The sequence below is a fragment of the Homo sapiens genome, chromosome 13, assembly GCF_000001405.40.
Source record: "Homo sapiens chromosome 13, GRCh38.p14 Primary Assembly".
NCBI classification, from domain to species: Eukaryota; Metazoa; Chordata; class Mammalia; order Primates; family Hominidae; genus Homo; species Homo sapiens.
Window position 1 is genome coordinate 112,292,436 of NC_000013.11, and position 19,904 is coordinate 112,312,339.

Genomic DNA, 19,904 nt, shown 5'->3' on the forward strand with positions numbered 1-19,904 from the left:
AGTGTGGACCATTCCTTCAGGATGGAGCAAGGTAAGCATGGACTGTTTCTTCAGGATGGGCCCAGGTAAGCATGGACCATTCCTTCAGGATGGAGTCACGTAAGTGTGGACCATTCCTTCAGGATGGAATCAGGTAAGCAGGGACCATTCCTTCAGAATACAGCCAGGTAAGCATGCACTGTTTCTTCAGGATGGGCCCAGTTAATCATGGACCATTCCTTCAGGATGGAGTCAGGTAAGTGGGGACCATTCCTTCAGGATGGATCAAGGTAAGCATGGACTGTTTCTTCAGGATGGGCCCAGGTAAGCATGGAACATTCCTTCAGGATGGAGTCAGGTAATTGTGGACCATTCCTTCAGAATACAGCCAGGTAAGCATGGACTGTTTCTTCAGGATGGGCCCCGGTAAGCATGGACCATTCCTTCAGGATGGAGTCACATAAGTGTGGACCATTCCTTCACGATGGAATCAGGTAGGCAGGGACCATTCCTTCAGAATACAGCCAGGTAAGCACGGACTGTTTCTTCAGGATGGGCCCAGGTAAGCAAGGACCATTCCTTCAGGATGGAGCCAGGTAAATGTGGACCATTCCTTCAGGATGGAGCAAGGTAAGCATGGACTGTTTCTTCAGGATGGGCCCATGTAAGCATGGACCATTCCTTCAGGATGGATTCAGGTAAGTATGGACCATTCCTTCAGAATGGAGCAAGGTAAGCATGGACTCTTTCTTCAGGATGGGCCCAGGTAAGCACGGACCATTCCTTCAGGATGGAGCCAGGTAAGTGTGGACCATTTCTTCAGAATACAGCCAGGTAAGCATGGACTGTTTGTTCAGGATGGGCCCAGGTAAGCATGGACCATTCCTTCAGAGTGGAGTCAGGTAAGTGTGGACCATTCCTTCAGGATGGAGCAAGGTAAGCATGGACTGTTTCTTCAGGATGGGCCCAGGTAAGCATGGACCATTCCTTCAGGATGGAGCCAGGTAAGTGTGGACCATTCCTTCAGAATACAGCCAGGTAAGCATGGACTGTTACTTCATGATGGGCCCAGGTAAGCATGGACCATTCCTTCAGGATGGAGCCAGGTAAGTGTGGACCATTTCTTCAGAATACAGCCAGGTAATCATGGACTGTTTCTTCAGGATGGGCCCAGGTAAGCATGGACCATTCCTTCAGGATGGAGTCACGTAAGTGTGGACCATTCCTTCAGGATGGAATCAGGTAAGCAGGGACCATTCCTTCAGAATACAGCCAGGTAAGCATGCACTGTTTCTTCAGGATGGGCCCAGTTAATCATGGACCATTCCTTCAGGATGGAGTCAGGTAAGTGGGGACCATTCCTTCAGGATGGATCAAGGTAAGCATGGACTGTTTCTTCAGGATGGGCCCAGGTAAGCATGGACCATTCCTTCAGGAGGGAGCCAGGTAAGTGTGGACCATTCCTTCAGAATACAGCCAGGTAAGCATGGAGTGTTTCTTCAGGATGGGCCCAGGTAAGCATGGAACATTCCTTCAGGATGGAGTCAGGTAATTGTGGACCATTCCTTCAGAATACAGCCAGGTAAGCATGGACTGTTTCTTCAGGATGAGCCCAGGTAAGCATGGACCATTCCTTCAGGATGGAGTCACATAAGTGTGGACCATTCCTTCACGATGGAATCAGGTAGGCAGGGACCATTCCTTCAGAATACAGCCAGGTAAGCATGGACTGTTTCTTCAGGATGGGCCCAGGTAAGCAAGGACCATTCCTTCAGGATGGAGCCAGGTAAATGTGGACAATTCCTTCAGGATGGAGCAAGGTAAGCATGGACTGTTTCTTTAGGATGGGCCCATGTAAGCATGGACCATTCCTTCAGGATGGATTCAGGTAAGTATGGACCATTCCTTCAGAATGGAGCAAGGTAAGCATGGACTCTTTCTTCAGGATGGGCCCAGGTAAGCATGGACCATTCCTTCAGGATGGAGCCAGGTAAGTGTGGACCATTCCTTCAGAATACAGCCAGGTAACCATGGACTGTTTCTTCAGGATGGGCCCAGGTAAGCATGGACCATTCCTTCAGAATGGAGCCAGGTAAGTGTGGACCATTCCTTCAGAATACAGCCAGGTAAGCATGGACTGTTTCTTCAAGATGGGCCCAGGTAAGCACGGACCATTCCTTCAGGATGGAGCCAGGTAAGTGTGGAACATTTCTTCAGAATACAGCCAGGTAAGCATGGACTGTTTCTTCAGGATGGGCCCAGGTAAGCATGGACCATTCCTTCAGAGTGGAGTCAGGTAAGTGTGGACCATTCCTTCAGGATGGAGCAAGGTAAGCATGGACTGTTTCTTCAGGATGGGCCCAGGTAAGCATGGACCATTCCTTCAGGATGGAGCCAGGTAAGTGTGGACCATTCCTTCAGAATACAGCCAGGTAAGCATGGACTGTTTCTTCAGGATGGGCCCAGGTAAGCATGGACCATTCCTTCAGGATGGAGCCAGGTAAGTGTGGACCATTTCTTCAGAATACAGCCAGGTAAGCATGGACTGTTTCTTCAGGATGGGCCCAGGTAAGCATGGACCATTCCTTCAGGATGGAGTCACGTAAGTGTGGACCATTCCTTCAGGATGGAATCAGGTAAGCAGGGACCATTCCTTCAGAATACAGCCAGGTAAGCATGCACAGTTTCTTCAGGATGGGCCCAGTTAATCATGGACCATTCCTTCAGGATGTAGTCAGGTAAGTGGGGACCATTCCTTCAGGATGGATCAAAGGTAACCATGGACTGTTTCTTCAGGATGGGCCCAGGTAAGCATGGACCATTCCTTCAGGAGGGAGCCAGGTAAGTGTGGACCATTCCTTCAGAATACAGCCAGGTAAGCATGGAGTGTTTCTTCAGGATGGGCCCAGGTAAGCATGGAACATTCCTTCAGGATGGAGTCAGGTAATTGTGGACCATTCCTTCAGAATACAGCCAGGTAAGCATGGACTGTTTCTTCAGGATGGGCCCAGGTAAGCATGGACCATTCCTTCAGGATGGAGTCACATAAGTGTGGACCATTCCTTCACGATGGAATCAGGTAGGCAGGGACCATTCCTTCAGAATACAGCCAGGTAAGCATGGACTGTTTCTTCAGGATGGGCCCAGGTAAGCAAGGACCATTCCTTCAGGATGGAGCCAGGTAAATGTAGACCATTCCTTCAGGATGGAGCAAGGTAAGCATGGACTGTTTCTTTAGGATGGGCCCATGTAAGCATGGACCATTCCTTCAGGATGGATTCAGGTAAGTATGGACCATTCCTTCAGAATGGAGCAAGGTAAGCATGGACTCTTTCTTCAGGATGGGCCCAGGTAAGCATGGACCATTCCTTCAGAATGGAGCCAGGTAAGTGTGGATCATTCCTTCAGAATACAGCCAGGTAAGCATGGACTGTTTCTTCAAGATGGGCCCAGGTAAGCACGGACCATTCCTTCAGGATGGAGCCAGGTAAGTGTGGACCATTTCTTCAGAATACAGCCAGGTAAGCATGGACTGTTTCTTCAGGATGGGCCCAGGTAAGCATGGACCATTCCTTCAGGGTGGAGTCAGGTAAGTGTGGACCATTCCTTCAGGATGGAGCAAGGTAAGCATGGACTGTTTCTTCAGGATGGGCCCAGGTAAGCATGGACCATTCCTTCAGGATGGAGCCAGGTAAGTGTGGACCATTCCTTCAGAATACAGCCAGGTAAGCATGGACTGTTTCTTCAGGATGGGCCCAGGTAAGCATGGACCATTCCTTCAGGATGGAGCCAGGTAAGTGTGGACCATTTCTTCAGAATACAGCCAGGTAAGCATGGACTGTTTCTTCAGGATGGGCCCAGGTAAGCATGGACCATTCCTTCAGGATGGAGTCACGTAAGTGTGGACCATTCCTTCAGGATGGAATCAGGTAAGCAGGGACCATTCCTTCAGAATACAGCCAGGTAAGCATGCACTGTTTCTTCAGGATGGGCCCAGTTAATCATGGACCATTCCTTCAGGATGGAGTCAGGTAAGTGGGGACCATTCCTTCAGGATGGATCAAGGTAAGCATGGACTGTTTCTTCAGGATGGGCCCAGGTAAGCATGGACCATTCCTTCAGGATGGAGCCAGGTAAGTGTGGACCATTCCTTCAGAATACAGCCAGGTAAGCATGGACTGTTTCTTCAGGATGGGCCCAGGTAAGCATGGACCATTCCTTCAGGATGGAGCCAGGTAAGTGTGGACCATTCCTTCAGAATACAGCCAGGTTAGCATGGACTGTTTCTTCAGGATGGGCCGAGGTAAGCATGGACCATTCCTTCAGGATAGAGCCAGGTAAGTGTGGACCATTCCTTCAGAATACAGTCAGGTAAGCATGGAGTGTTTCTTCAGGATGGGCCCAGGTAAGCATGGACCATTCCTTCAGAGTGGAGTCAGGTAAGTGTGGACCATTCCTTCAGGATGGAGCAAGGAAAGCATGGACTGTTTCTTCAGGATGGGCCCAGGTAAGCATGGACCATTCCTTCAGGATGGAGCCAGGTAAGTGTGGACCATTCCTTCGGAATACTGCCAGGTAAGCATGGAGTGTTTCTTCAGGATGGGCCCAGGTAAGCATGGACCATTCCTTCAGGAGGGAGCCAGGTAAGTGTGGACCATTCCTTCGGAATACAGCCAGGTAAGCATGGAGTGTTTCTTCAGGATGGGCGCAGGTAAGCATGGAACATTCCTTCACGATGGAGTCAGGTAATTGTGGACCATTCCTTCAGAATACAGCCAGGTAAGCATGGACTGTTTCTTCAGGATGGGCCCAGGTAAGCATGGACCATTCCTTCAGGATGGAGTCACATAAGTGTGGACCATTCCTTCACGATGAAATCAGGTAGGCAGGGACCATTCCTTCAGAATACAGCCAGGTAAGCATGGACTGTTTCTTCAGGATGGGCCCAGGTAAGCAAGGACCATTCCTTCAGGATGGAGCCAGGTAAATGTGGACCATTCCTTCAGGATGGAGCAAGGTAAGCATGGACTGTTTCTTCAGGATGGGCCCAGGTAAGCATGGACTATTCCTTGAGGATGGAGCCAGGTAATCACTGACCATTCCTTCAGAATACAGCCAGTTAAGCATGGACTGTTTCTTCAGGATGGGCCCAGGTAAGCATGGACCATTCCTTCAGGATGGAGCCAGGTAAGTGTTGACCATTCCTTCAGAATACAGCCAGGTAAGCATGGACTGTTTCTTCAGGATGGGCCCAGGTAAGCATGAACCAGTCCTTCAGGATGGAGCCAGGTAAGGGTGGACCATTCCTTCAGAATACAGCCAGGTAAGCATGGACAGTTTCCTCAAGATGGGCCCAGGTAAGCATGGACCAATCCTTCAAGATGGAGTCACGTAAGTGTGGACCATTCCTTCAGGATGGAATCAGGTAAGCAGGGACCATTCCTTCAGAATACAGCCAGGTAAGCATGCACTGTTTCTTCAGGATGGGCCCAGTTAAGCATGGACCATTCCTTCAGGATGGAGTCAGGTAAGTGTGGACCATTCCTTCAGGATGGGCCCAGGTAAGCATGGACCATTCCTTCAGGATGAAGTCAGGTAAGTGTGGACCATTCCTTCAGAATACAGCCAGGTAAGCATGGACTGTTTCTTCATGATGGGCCCAGGTAACCATGGACCATTCCTTCAGGATAGAGCCAGGTAAGTGTGGACCATTCCTTCAGAATACAGCCAGGTAAGAATGGACTGTTTCTTCAGGATGGGCCCAGGTAAGCATGGACCATTCCTTCAGAGTGGAGTCAGGTAAGTGTGGACCATTCCTTCAGGATGGAGCAAGGTAAGCATGGACTGTTTCTTCAGGATGGGCCCAGGTAAGCATGGACCATTCCTTCAGCATGGAGCCAGGTAAGTGTGGACCATTCCATCAGAATACAGCCAGGTAAGCATGGAGTGTTTCTTCAGGATGGGCCCAGGTAAGCATGGACCATTCCTTCAGGATGGAGCCAGGTAAGTGTGGACCATTTCTTCAGAATACAGCCAGGTAAGCATGGACTATTTCTTCAGGATGGGCCCAGGTAAGCATGGACCATTCCTTCAGGGTGGAGTCAGGTAAGTGTGGACCATTCCTTCAGGATGGAGCAAGGTAAGCATGGACTGTTTCTTCAGGATGGGCCCAGGTAAGCATGGACCATTCCTGCAGGATGGAGCCAGGTAAGTGTGGACCATTTCTTCAGAATACAGCCAGGTAAACATGGAGTGTTTCTTCAGGATGGGCCCAGGTAAGCATGGACCATTCCTTCAGGATGCAGTCAGGTATTTGTGGACCATTCCTTCAGAATGGAGCAAGGTAAGCATGGACTGTTTCTTCAGGATGGGCCCAGGTAAGCATGGACCATTCCTTCAGGTTGGAGCCAGGGAAATGTGGACCATTCCTTCAGAATACAGCCAGGTAAGCATGGACTGTTTCTTCAGGATGGGCCCAGGTAAACATGGACCATACCTTCAGGATGGAGACAGGAAAGTGTGGATCATTCCTTCAGAATACAGCCAGGTAAGCATGGACTGTTTCTTCAGGATGGGCCCAGGTAAGCATGGACCATTCCTTCAGGATGGAGCAAGTAAGTGTGGACCATTCCTTCAGAATACAACCAGGTAAGCATGGACTGTTTCTTCAGGATGGGCCCATGTTAGCATGGACCATTCCTTCAGGATGGATTCAGGTAAGTATGGACCATTCCTTCAGAATGGAGCAAGGTAAGCATGGACTCTTTCTTCAGGATGGGCCCAGGTAAGCATGGACCATTCCTTCAGGATGGAGCCAGGTAAGTGTGGACCATTCCTTCAGAATACAGCCAGGTAACCATGGACTTTTTCTTCAGGATGGGCCCAGGTAAGCATGGACCATTCCTTCAGAATGGAGCCAGGTGAGTGTGGACCATTCCTTCAGAATACAGCCAGGTAAGCATGGACTGTTTCTTCAAGATGGGCCCAGGTAAGCACGGACCATTCCTTCAGGATGGAGCCAGGTAAGTGTGGACCATTTCTTCAGAATACAGCCAGGTAAGCATGGACTGTTTCTTCAGGATGGGCCCAGGTAAGCATGGACCATTCCTTCAGGATGGAGTCACGTAAGTGTGGACCATTCCTTCAGGATGGAATCAGGTAAGCAGGGACCATTCCTTCAGAATACAGCCAGGTAAGCATGCACTGTTTCTTCAGGATGGGCCCAGTTAATCATGGACCATTCCTTCAGGATGGAGTCAGGTAAGTGGGGACCATTCCTTCAGGATGGATCAAGGTAAGCATGGACTGTTTCTTCAGGATGGGCCCAGGTAAGCATGGACCATTCCTTCAGGATGGAGCCAGGTAAGTGTGGACCATTCCTTCAGAATACAGCCAGGTAAGCATGGACTGTTTCTTCAGGATGGGCCCAGGTAAGCATGGACCATTCCTTCAGGATAGAGCCAGGTAAGTGTGGACCATTCCTTCAGAATACAGTCAGGTAAGCATGGAGTGTTTCTTCAGGATGGGCCCAGGTAAGCATGGACCATTCCTTCAGAGTGGAGTCAGGTAAGTGTGGACCATTCCTTCAGGATGGAGCAAGGTAAGCATGGACTGTTTCTTCAGGATGGGCCCAGGTAAGCATGGACCATTCCTTCAGGATGGAGCCAGGTAAGTGTGGACCATTCCTTCGGAATACTGCCAGGTAAGCATGGAGTGTTTCTTCAGGATGGGCCCAGGTAAGCATGGACCATTCCTTCAGGAGGGAGCCAGGTAAGTGTGGACCATTCCTTCAGAATACAGTCGGGTAAGCATGGAGTGTTTCTTCAGGACGGGCCCAGGTAAGCATGGAACATTCCTTCAGGATGGAGTCAGGTAATTGTGGACCATTCCTTCAGAATACAGCGAGGTAAGCATGGACTGTTTCTTCAGGATGGGCCCAGGTAAGCATGGACCATTCCTTCAGGATGGAGTCACATAAGTGTGGACCATTCCTTCACGATGGAATCAGGTAGGCAGGGACCATTCCTTCAGAATACAGCCAGGTAAGCATGGACTGTTTCTTCAGGATGGGCCCAGGTAAGCAAGGACCATTCCTTCAGGATGGAGCCAGGTAAATGTGGACCATTCCTTCAGGATGGAGCAAGGTAAGCATGGACTGTTTCTTCAGGATGGGCCCATGTAAGCATGGACCATTCCTTCAGGATGGATTCAGGTAAGTATGGACCATTCCTTCAGAATGGAGCAAGGTAAGCATGGACTCTTTCTTCAGGATGGGCCCAGGTAAGCATGGACCATTCCTTCAGGATGGAGCCAGGTAAGTGTGGACCATTCCTTCAGAATACAGCCAGGTAACCATGGATTGTTTCTTCAGGATGGGCCCAGGTAAGCATGGACCATTCCTTCAGAATGGAGCCAGGTAAGTGTGGACCATTCCTTCAGAATACAGCCAGGTAAGCATGGACTGTTTCTTCAGGATGGGCCCAGGTAAGCATGGACCATTCCTTCAGGATGGAGTCACGTAAGTGTGGACCATTCCTTCAGGATGGAATCAGGTAAGCAGGGACCATTCCTTCAGAATGCAGCCAGGTAAGCATGCACTGTTTCTTCAGGATGGGCCCAGTTAATCATGGACCATTCCTTCAGGATGGAGTCACGTAAGTGGGGACCATTCCTTCAGGATGGATCAAGGTAAGCATGGACTGTTTCTTCAGGATGGGCCCAGGTAAACATGGACCATTCCTTCAGGATGGAGCCAGGTAAGTGTGGACCATTCCTTCAGAATACAGCCAGGTAAGCATGGACTGTTTCTTCAGGATGGGCCCAGGTAAGCAGGGACCATTCCTTCAGGATAGAGCCAGGTAAGTGTGGACCATTCCTTCAGAATACAGTCAGGTAAGCATGGAGTGTTTCTTCAGGATGGGCCCAGGTAAGCATGGACCATTCCTTCAGAGTGGAGTCAGGTAAGTGTGGACCATTCCTTCAGGATGGAGCAAGGTAAGCATGGACTGTTTCTTCAGGATGGGCCCAGGTAAGCATGGACCATTCCTTCAGGATGGAGCCAGGTAAGTGTGGACCATTCCTTCGGAATACTGCCAGGTAAGCATGGAGTGTTTCTTCAGGATGGGCCCAGGTAAGCATGGACCATTCCTTCAGAAGGGAGCCAGGTAAGTGTGGACCATTCCTTCGGAATACAGCCAGGTAAGCATGGAGTGTTTCTTCAGGATGGGCCCAGGTAAGCATGGAACATTCCTTCAGGATGGAGTCAGGTAATTGTGGACCATTCCCTCAGAATACAGCCAGGTAAGCATGGACTGTTTCTTCAGGATGGGCCCAGGTAAGCATGGACCATTCCTTCAGGATGGAGTCACATAAGTGTGGACCATTCCTTCACGATGGAATCAGGTAGGCAGGGACCATTCCTTCAGAATACAGCCAGGTAAGCATGGACTGTTTCTTCAGGATGGGCCCAGGTAAGCAAGGACCATTCCTTCAGGATGGAGCCAGGTAAATGTGGACCATTCCTTCAGGATGGAGCAAGGTAAGCATGGACTGTTTCTTCAGGATGGGCCCATGTAAGCATGTACCATTCCTTCAGGATGGATTCAGGTAAGTATGGACCATTCCTTCAGAATGGAGCAAGGTAAGCATGGACTCATTCTTCAGGATGGGCCCAGGTAAGCATGGACCATTCCTTCAGGATGGAGCCAGGTAAGTGTGGACCATTCCTTCAGAATACAGCCAGGTAACCATGGAGTGTTTCTTCAGGATGGGCCCAGGTAAGCATGGACCATTCCTTCAGAATGGAGCCAGGTAAGTGTGGACCATTCCTTCAGAATACAGCCAGGTAAGCATGGACTGTTTCTTCAAGATGGGCCCAGGTAAGCACGGACCATTCCTTCAGGATGGAGCCAGGTAAGTGTGGACCATTTCTTCAGAATACAGCCAGGTAAGCATGGACTGTTTCTTCAGGATGGGCCCAGGTAAACATGGACCATTCCTTCAGAGTGGAGTCAGGTAAGTGTGGACCATTCCTTCAGGATGGAGCAAGGTAAGCATGGACTGTTTCTTCAGGATGGGCCCAGGTAAGCATGGACCATTCCTTCAGGATGGAGCCAGGTAAGTGTGGACCATTCCTTCAGAATACAGCCAGGTAAGCATGGACTGTTTCTTCAGGATGGGCCCAGGTAAGCATGGACCATTCCTTCAGGATGGAGCCAGGTAAGTGTGGACCATTTCTTCAGAATACAGCCAGGTAAGCATGGACTGTTTCTTCAGGATGGGCCCAGGTAAGCATGGACCATTCCTTCAGGATGGAGTCACGTAAGTGTGGACCATTCCTTCAGGATGGAATCAGGTAAGCAGGGACCATTCCTTCAGAATGCAGCCAGGTAAGCATGCACTGTTTCTTCAGGATGGGCCCAGTTAATCATGGACCATTCCTTCAGGATGGAGTCACGTAAGTGGGGACCATTCCTTCAGGATGGATCAAGGTAAGCATGGACTGTTTCTTCAGGATGGGCCCAGGTAAACATGGACCATTCCTTCAGGATGGAGCCAGGTAAGTGTGGACCATTCCTTCAGAATACAGCCAGGTAAGCATGGACTGTTTCTTCAGGATGGGCCCAGGTAAGCAGGGACCATTCCTTCAGGATAGAGCCAGGTAAGTGTGGACCATTCCTTCAGGATGGAGCCAGTAAGTGTGGACCATTCCTTCAGAATACAGCCAGGTAAGCATGGACTGTTTCTTCAGGATGGGCCCAGGTAAGCATGGACCATTCCTTCAGAATGGAGCCAGGTAAGTGTGGACCATTCCTTCAGAATACAGCCAGGTAAGCATGGACTGTTTCTTCAAGATGGGCCCAGGTAAGCACGGACCATTCCTTCAGGATGGAGCCAGGTAAGTGTGGACCATTTCTTCAGAATACAGCCAGGTAAGCATGGACTGTTTCTTCAGGATGGGCCCAGGTAAGCATGGACCATTCCTTCAGGGTGGAGTCAGGTAAGTGTGGACCATTCCTTCAGGATGGAGCAAGGTAAGCATGGACTGTTTCTTCAGGATGGGCCCAGGTAAGCATGGACCATTCCTTCAGGATGGAGCCAGGTAAGTGTGGACCATTCCTTCAGAATACAGCCAGGTAAGCATGGACTGTTTCTTCAGGATGGGCCCAGGTAAGCATGGACCATTCCTTCAGGATGGAGCCAGGTAAGTGTGGACCATTCCTTCAGGATGGAATCAGGTAAGCAGGGACCATTCCTTCAGAATACAGCCAGGTAAGCATGCACTGTTTCTTCAGGATGGGCCCAGTTAAGCATGGACCATTCCTTCAGGATGGAGTCAGGTAAGTGTGGACCATTCCTTCAGGATGGGCCCAGGTAAGCATGGACCATTCCTTCAGGATGAAGTCAGGTAAGTGTGGACCATTCCTTCAGAATACAGCCAGGTAAGCATGGACTGTTTCTTCATGATGGGCCCAGGTAACCATGGACCATTCCTTCAGGATAGAGCCAGGTAAGTGTGGACCATTCCTTCAGAATACAGCCAGGTAAGAATGGACTGTTTCTTCAGGATGGGCCCAGGTAAGCATGGACCATTCCTTCAGAGTGGAGTCAGGTAAGTGTGGACCATTCCTTCAGGATGGAGCAAGGTAAGCATGGACTGTTTCTTCAGGATGGGCCCAGGTAAGCATGGACCATTCCTTCAGCATGGAGCCAGGTAAGTGTGGACCATTCCATCAGAATACAGCCAGGTAAGCATGGAGTGTTTCTTCAGGATGGGCCCAGGTAAGCATGGACCATTCCTTCAGGATGGAGCCAGGTAAGTGTGGACCATTCCTTCAGAATACAGCCAGGTAAGCATGGACAGTTTCCTCAAGATGGGCCCAGGTAAGCATGGACCAATCCTTCAAGATGGAGTCAGGTAAGTGTGGACCATTCCTTCAGGATGGAATCAGGTAAGCAGGGACCATTCCTTCAGAATACAGCCAGGTAAGCATGCACTGTTTCTTCAGGATGGGCCCAGTTAAGCATGGACCATTCCTTCAGGATGGAGTCAGGTAAGTGTGGACCATTCCTTCAGGATGGGCCCAGGTAAGCATGGACCATTCCTTCAGGATGAAGTCAGGTAAGTGTGGACCATTCCTTCAGAATACAGCCAGGTAAGCATGGACTGTTTCTTCATGATGGGCCCAGGTAACCATGGACCATTCCTTCAGGATAGAGCCAGGTAAGTGTGGACCATTCCTTCAGAATACAGCCAGGTAAGAATGGACTGTTTCTTCAGGATGGGCCCAGGTAAGCATGGACCATTCCTTCAGAGTGGAGTCAGGTAAGTGTGGACCATTCCTTCAGGATGGAGCAAGGTAAGCATGGACTGTTTCTTCAGGATGGGCCCAGGTAAGCATGGACCATTCCTTCAGCATGGAGCCAGGTAAGTGTGGACCATTCCATCAGAATACAGCCAGGTAAGCATGGAGTGTTTCTTCAGGATGGGCCCAGGTAAGCATGGACCATTCCTTCAGGATGGAGCCAGGTAAGTGTGGACCATTTCTTCAGAATACAGCCAGGTAAGCATGGACTATTTCTTCAGGATGGGCCCAGGTAAGCATGGACCATTCCTTCCGGGTGGAGTCAGGTAAGTGTGGACCATTCCTTCAGGATGGAGCAAGGTAAGCATGGACTGTTTCTTCAGGATGGGCCCAGGGAAGCATGGACCATTCCTTCAGGATGGAGCCAGGTAAGTGTGGACCATTTCTTCAGAATACAGCCAGGTAAACATGGAGTGTTTCTTCAGGATGGGCCCAGGTAAGCATGGACCATTCCTTCAGGATGCAGTCAGGTATTTGTGGACCATTCCTTCAGAATGGAGCAAGGTAAGCATGGAGTGTTTCTTCAGGATGGGCCCAGGTAAGCATGGACCATTCCTTCAGGTTGGAGCCAGGGAAGTGTGGACCATTCCTTCAGAATACAGCCAGGTAAGCATGTACTGTTTCTTCAGGATGGGCCCAGGTAAACATGGACCATACCTTCAGGATGGAGACAGGAAAGTGTGGATCATTCCTTCAGAATACAGCCAGGTAAGCATGGACTGTTTCTTCAGGATGGGCCCAGGTAAGCATGGACCATTCCTTCAGGATGGAGCCAGTAAGTGTGGACCATTCCTTCAGAATACAGCCAGGTAAGCATGGACTGTTTCTTCAGGATGGGCCCATGTTAGCATGGACCATTCCTTCAGGATGGATTCAGGTAAGTATGGACCATTCCTTCAGAATGGAGCAAGGTAAGCATGGACTCTTTCTTCAGGATGGGCCCAGGTAAGCATGGACCATTCCTTCAGGATGGAGCCAGGTAAGTGTGGACCATTCCTTCAGAATACAGCCAGGTAACCATGGACTGTTTCTTCAGGATGGGCCCAGGTAAGCATGGACCATTCCTTCAGAATGGAGCCAGGTAAGTGTGGACCATTCCTTCAGAATACAGCCAGGTAAGCATGGACTGTTTCTTCAAGATGGGCCCAGGTAAGCACGGACCATTCCTTCAGGATGGAGCCAGGTAAGTGTGGACCATTTCTTCAGAATACAGCCAGGTAAGCATGGACTGTTTCTTCAGGATGGGCCCAGGTAAGCATGGACCATTCCTTCAGGATGGAGTCACGTAAGTGTGGACCATTCCTTCACGATGCAATCAGGTAGGCAGGGACCATTCCTTCAGAATACAGCCAGGTAAGCATGGACTGTTTCTTCAGGATGGGCCCAGGTAAGCAAGGACCATTACTTCAGGATGGAGCCAGGTAAATGTGGACCATTCCTTCAGGATGGAGCAAGGTAAGCATGGACTGTTTCTTCAGGATGGGCCCATGTAAGCATGGACCATTCCTTCAGGATGGATTCAGGTAAGTATGGACCATTCCTTCAGAATGGAGCAAGGTAAGCATGGACTCTTTCTTCAGGATGGGCCCAGGTAAGCACGGACCATTCCTTCAGGATGGAGCCAGGTAAGTGTGGACCATTTCTTCAGAATACAGCCAGGTAAGCATGGACTGTTTCTTCAGGATGGGCCCAGGTAAGCATGGACCATTCCTTCAGAGTGGAGTCAGGTAAGTGTGGACCATTCCTTCAGGATGGAGCAAGGTAAGCATGGACTGTTTCTTCAGGATGGGCCCAGGTAAGCATGGACCATTCCTTCAGGATGGAGCCAGGTAAGTGTGGACCATTCCTTCAAAATACAGCCAGGTAAGCATGGACTGTTTCTTCATGATGGGCCCAGGTAAGCATGGACCATTCCTTCAGGATGGAGCCAGGTAAGTGTGGACCATTTCTTCAGAATACAGCCAGGTAATCATGGACTGTTTCTTCAGGATGGGCCCAGGTAAGCATGGACCATTCCTTCAGGATGGAGTCACGTAAGTGTGGACCTTTCCTTCAGGATGGAATCAGGTAAGCAGGGACCATTCCTTCAGAATACAGCCAGGTAAGCATGCACTGTTTCTTCAGGATGGGCCCAGTTAATCATGGACCATTCCTTCAGGATGGAGTCAGGTAAGTGGGGACCATTCCTTCAGGATGGATCAAGGTAAGCATGGACTGTTTCTTCAGGATGGGCCCAGGTAAGCATGGACCATTCCTTCAGGAGGGAGCCAGGTAAGTGTGGACCATTCCTTCAGAATACAGCCAGGTAAGCATGGAGTGTTTCTTCAGGATGGGCCCAGGTAAGCATGGAACATTCCTTCAGGATGGAGTCAGGTAATTGTGGACCATTCCTTCAGAATACAGCCAGGTAAGCATGGACTGTTTCTTCAGGATGGGCCCAGGTAAGCATGGACCATTCCTTCAGGATGGAGTCACATAAGTGTGGACCATTCCTTCACGATGGAATCAGGTAGGCAGGGACCATTCCTTCAGAATACAGCCAGGTAAGCATGGACTGTTTCTTCAAGATGGGCCCAGGTAAGCACGGACCATTCCTTCAGGATGGAGCCAGGTAAGTGTGGAACATTTCTTCAGAATACAGCCAGGTAAGCATGGACTGTTTCTTCAGGATGGGCCCAGGTAAGCATGGACCATTCCTTCAGAGTGGAGTCAGGTAAGTGTGGACCATTCCTTCAGGATGGAGCAAGGTAAGCATGGACTGTTTCTTCAGGATGGGCCCAGGTAAGCATGGACCATTCCTTCAGGATGGAGCCAGGTAAGTGTGGACCATTCCTTCAGAATACAGCCAGGTAAGCATGGACTGTTTCTTCAGGATGGGCCCAGGTAAGCATGGACCATTCCTTCAGGATGGAGCCAGGTAAGTGTGGACCATTTCTTCAGAATACAGCCAGGTAAGCATGGACTGTTTCTTCAGGATGGGCCCAGGTAAGCATGGACCATTCCTTCAGGATGGAGTCACGTAAGTGTGGACCATTCCTTCAGGATGGAATCAGGTAAGCAGGGACCATTCCTTCAGAATACAGCCAGGTAAGCATGCACTGTTTCTTCAGGATGGGCCCAGTTAATCATGGACCATTCCTTCAGGATGGAGTCAGGTAAGTGGGGACCATTCCTTCAGGATGGATCAAGGTAAGCATGGACTGTTTCTTCAGGATGGGCCCAGGTAAGCATGGACCATTCCTTCAGGATGGAGTCACATAAGTGTGGACCATTCCTTCACGATGAAATCAGGTAGGCAGGGACCATTCCTTCAGAATACAGCCAGGTAAGCATGGACTGTTTCTTCAGGATGGGCCCAGGTAAGCAAGGACCATTCCTTCAGGTTGGAGCCAGGTAAATGTGGACCATTCCTTCAGGATGGAGCAAGGTAAGCATGGACTGTTTCTTCAGGATGGGCCCAGGTAAGCATGGACCATTCCTTTAGGATGGAGTCCGGTAAGTGTGGACCATTCCTTCAGGATGGAGCAAGGTAAGCATGGACTGTTTCTTCAGGATGGGCCCAGGTAAGCATGGACCATTCCTTCAGGATGGAGCCAGGTAAGTTTGGACCATTCCTTCAGAATACAGCCAGGTAAGCATGGACTGTTTCTTCAGGATTGGCCCAGGTAAGCATGGACCATTCCTTCAGGATAGAGCCAGGTAAGTGTGGACCATTCCTTCAGAGTACAGCCAGGTAAGCATGGACTGTTTTTTCAGGATGGGCCCAGGTAAGCATGCACCATTCCTTCAGAGTGGAGTCAGGTAAGTGTTGACCATTCCTTCAGGATGGAGCACGTAAGCATGGACTGTTTCTTCAGGATGGGCCCAGGTAAGCATGGACCATTCCTTCAGGATAGAGCCAGGTAAGTGTGGACCATTCCTTCAGAATACAGCCAGGTAACCATGGACTGTTTCTTCAGGATGGGCCCAGGTAAGCATGGACCATTCCTTCAGAGTGGAGTCAGGTAAGTGTGGACCATTCCTTCAGGATGGAGCAAGGTAAGCATGGACTGTTTCTTCAGGATGGGCCCAGGTAAGCATGGACCATTCCCTCAGGATGGAGCCAGGTAAGTGTGGACCATTCCTTCAGAATACTGTCAGGTAAGCATGGAGTGTTTCTTCAGGATGGGCCCAGGTAAGCATGGACCATTCCTTCAGGATGGAGCCAGGTAAGTGTGGACCATTCCTTCAGAATACAGCCAGGTAAGCATGGAGTGTTTCTTCAAGATGGGCCCAGGTAATCATGGACCATTCCTTCAGGATGGAGTCACATAAGTGTGGACCATTCCTTCAGGATGGAATCAGGTAGGCAGGGACCATTCCTTCAGAATACAGCCAGGTAAGCATGGACTGTTTCTTCAGGATGGGCCCAGGTAAGCATGGACCATTCCTTCAGGATGGAGCCAGATAAGTGTGGACCATTTCTTCAGAATACAGCCAGGTAATCATGGACTGTTTCTTCAGGATGGGCCCAGGTAACCATGGACCATTCCTTCAGGATGGAGTCACGTAAGTGTGGACCATTCCTTCAGGATGGAATCAGGTAAGCAGGGACCATTCCTTCAGAATACAGCCAGGTAAGCATGGACTGTTTCTTCAGGATGGGCCCAGTTAAGCATGGACCATTCCTTCGGGATGGAGTCAGGTATGTGGGGACCATTCCTTCAGGATGGATCAAGGTAAGCATGGACTGTTTCTTCAGGATGGGCCCAGGTAAGCATGGACCATTCCTTCAGGATGGAGCCAGGTAAGTGTGGACCATTCCTTCAGAATACAGCCAGGTAAGCATGGACTGTTTCTTCAGGATGGGCCCAGGTAAGCATGGACCATTCCTTCAGAGTGGAGTCAGGTAAGTGTGGACCATTCCTTCAGGATTGTGCAAGGTAAGCATGGACTGTTTCTTCAGGATGGGCCCATGTAAGCATGGACCATTCCTTCAGGATGGAGCCAGGTAAGTGTGGACCATTCCTTCAGAATACTGCCAGGTAAGCTTGGAGTGTTTCTTCAGGATGGGCCCAGGTAAGCATGGACCATTCCTTCAGGATGGAGCCAGGTAAGTGTGGACCATTCCTTCAGAATACAGCCAGGTAAGCATGGAGTGTTTCTTCAGGATGGGCCCAGGTAAGCATGGACCATTCCTTCAGGATGGAGCCAGGTAATTGTGGACCATTTCTTCAGAATACAGCCAGGTAAGCATGGACTGTTTCTTCAGGTTGGGCCCAGGTAAGCATGGACCATTCCTTCAGGATGGAGTCAGGTAATTGTGGACCATTCCTTCAGAATGGAGCAAGGTAAGCATGGAGTGTTTCTTCAGGATGGGCCCAGGTAAGCATGGACCATTCCTTCAGGATGGAGCCAGGTAAGTGTGGACCATTTCTTCAGAATACAGCCAGGTAAGCATGGACTGTTTCTTCAGGATGGGCCCAGGTCAGCATGGACCATTCCTTCAGGGTGGAGTCAGGTAAGTGTGGACCATTCCTTCAGGATGGAGCAAGGTAACCATGGACTGTTTCTTAAGGATGGGCCCAGGTAAGCATGGACCATTCCTCCAGGTTGGAGCCAGGTAAGTGTGGGCCATTTCTTCAGAATACCGCCAGGTAAGCATGGATTGTTTCTTCAGGATGGGCCCAGGTAAGCATGGACCATTCCTTCAGGATGGAGTCAGGTAATTGTGGACCATTCCTTCAGAATGGAGCAAGGTAATCATGGACTGTTTCTTCAGGATTGGCCCCGGTAAGCATGGACCATTCCTTCAGGTTGGAGCCAGGTAAGTGTGGACCATTCCTTCAGAACACAGCCAGGTAAGCATGGACTGTTTCTTCAGGATGGGCCCAGGTAAGCATGGACCATTCCTTCAGGATGGAGTCAGGTAATTGTGGACCATTCCTTCAGAATGGAGCAAGGTAAGCATGGACTGTTTCTTCAGGATGGGCCCAGGTAAGCATGGACCATTCCTTCAGGTTGGAGCCAGGTAAGTGTGTACCATTCCTTCAGAATACAGCCAGGTAAGCATGGACTGTTTCTTCAGGATGGGCCCAGGTAAGCATGGACCATTCCTTCAGGATGGAGTCACGTAAGTGTGGACCATTCCTTCAGGATGGAATCAGGTAAGCAGGGACCATTCCTTCAGAATACAGCCACGTAAGCATGGACTGTTTCTTCAGGATGGGCCCAGGTAAGCATGGACCATTCCTTCAGGATGGAGTCAAGTAAGTGTGGACCATTCCTTCAGGATGGAGCAAGGTAAGCATGGACTGTTTCTTCTGGATGGGCCCAGGTAAGCATGGACCATTCCTTCAGGATGGAGCCAGGTAAGTGTGGACCATTCCTTCAGAATACAGCCTGGTAAGCATGGACTGTTTCTTCAGGTTGGGCCCAGCTAAGCATGCACCATTCCTTCAGGATAGAGCCAGGTAAGTGTGGACCATTCCTTCAGAATACAGCCAGGTAAGCATGGACTCTTTCTTCAGGATGGGCCCAGGTAAGCATGGACCATTCCTTCAGAGTAGAGTCAGGTAAGTGTGGACCATTCCTTCAGGATGGAGCAAGGTAAGCATGGACTGTTTCTTCAGGATGGGCCCAGGTAAGTATGGACCATTCCTTCAGGATGGAGCCAGGTAAGTGTGGACCATTTCTTCAGAATACAGCCAGGTAAGCATGGACTGTTTCTTCAGGATGGGCCCAGGTCAGCATGGACCATTCCTTCAGGGTGGAGTCAGGTAAATGTGGACCATTCCTTCAGGATGGAGCAAGGTAAGCATGGACTGTTTCTTCAGGATGGGCCCAGGTAAGCATGGACCATTCCTTCACGATGGAGCCAGCTAAGTGTGGACCATTTCTTCAGAATACCGCCAAGTTAGCATGGATTGTTTCTTCAGGATGGGCCCAGGTAAGCATGGACCATTCCTTCAGGATGGAGTCAGGTAATTGTGGACCATTCCTTCAGAATGCAGCAAGGTAATCATGGACTGTTTCTTCAGGATGGGCCCAGGTAAGCATGGACCATTCCTTCAGGTTGGAGCCAGGTAAGTGTGGACCATTCCTTCAGAATACAGCCTGGTAAGCTTGGACTGTTTCTTCAGGATGGGCCCAGGTAAGCATGGACCATTCCTTCAGGATGGAGTCACATAAGTGTGGACCATTCCTTCAGGATGGAATGAGGTAAGCAGGGACCATTCCTTCAGAATACAGCCAGGTAAGCATGGACTGTTTCTTCAGGATGGGCCCAGGTAAGCATGGACCATTCCTTCAGGATGGAGTCAGGTAAGTGTGGACCATTCCTGCAGGATGGAGCAAGGTAATCATGGACTGTTTCTTCAGGATGGGCCCAGGTAAGCATGGACCATTCCTTCAGGATGGAGCCAGGTAAGTGTGGACCATTCCTTCAGAATACAGCCAGGTAAGCATGGACTGTTTCTTCAGGATGGGCCCAGGTAAGCATGGACCATTCCTTCAGGATGGAGCCAGGTAAGTGTGGACCATTCCTTCAGAGTACAGCCAGGTAAGCATGGACTGTTTCTT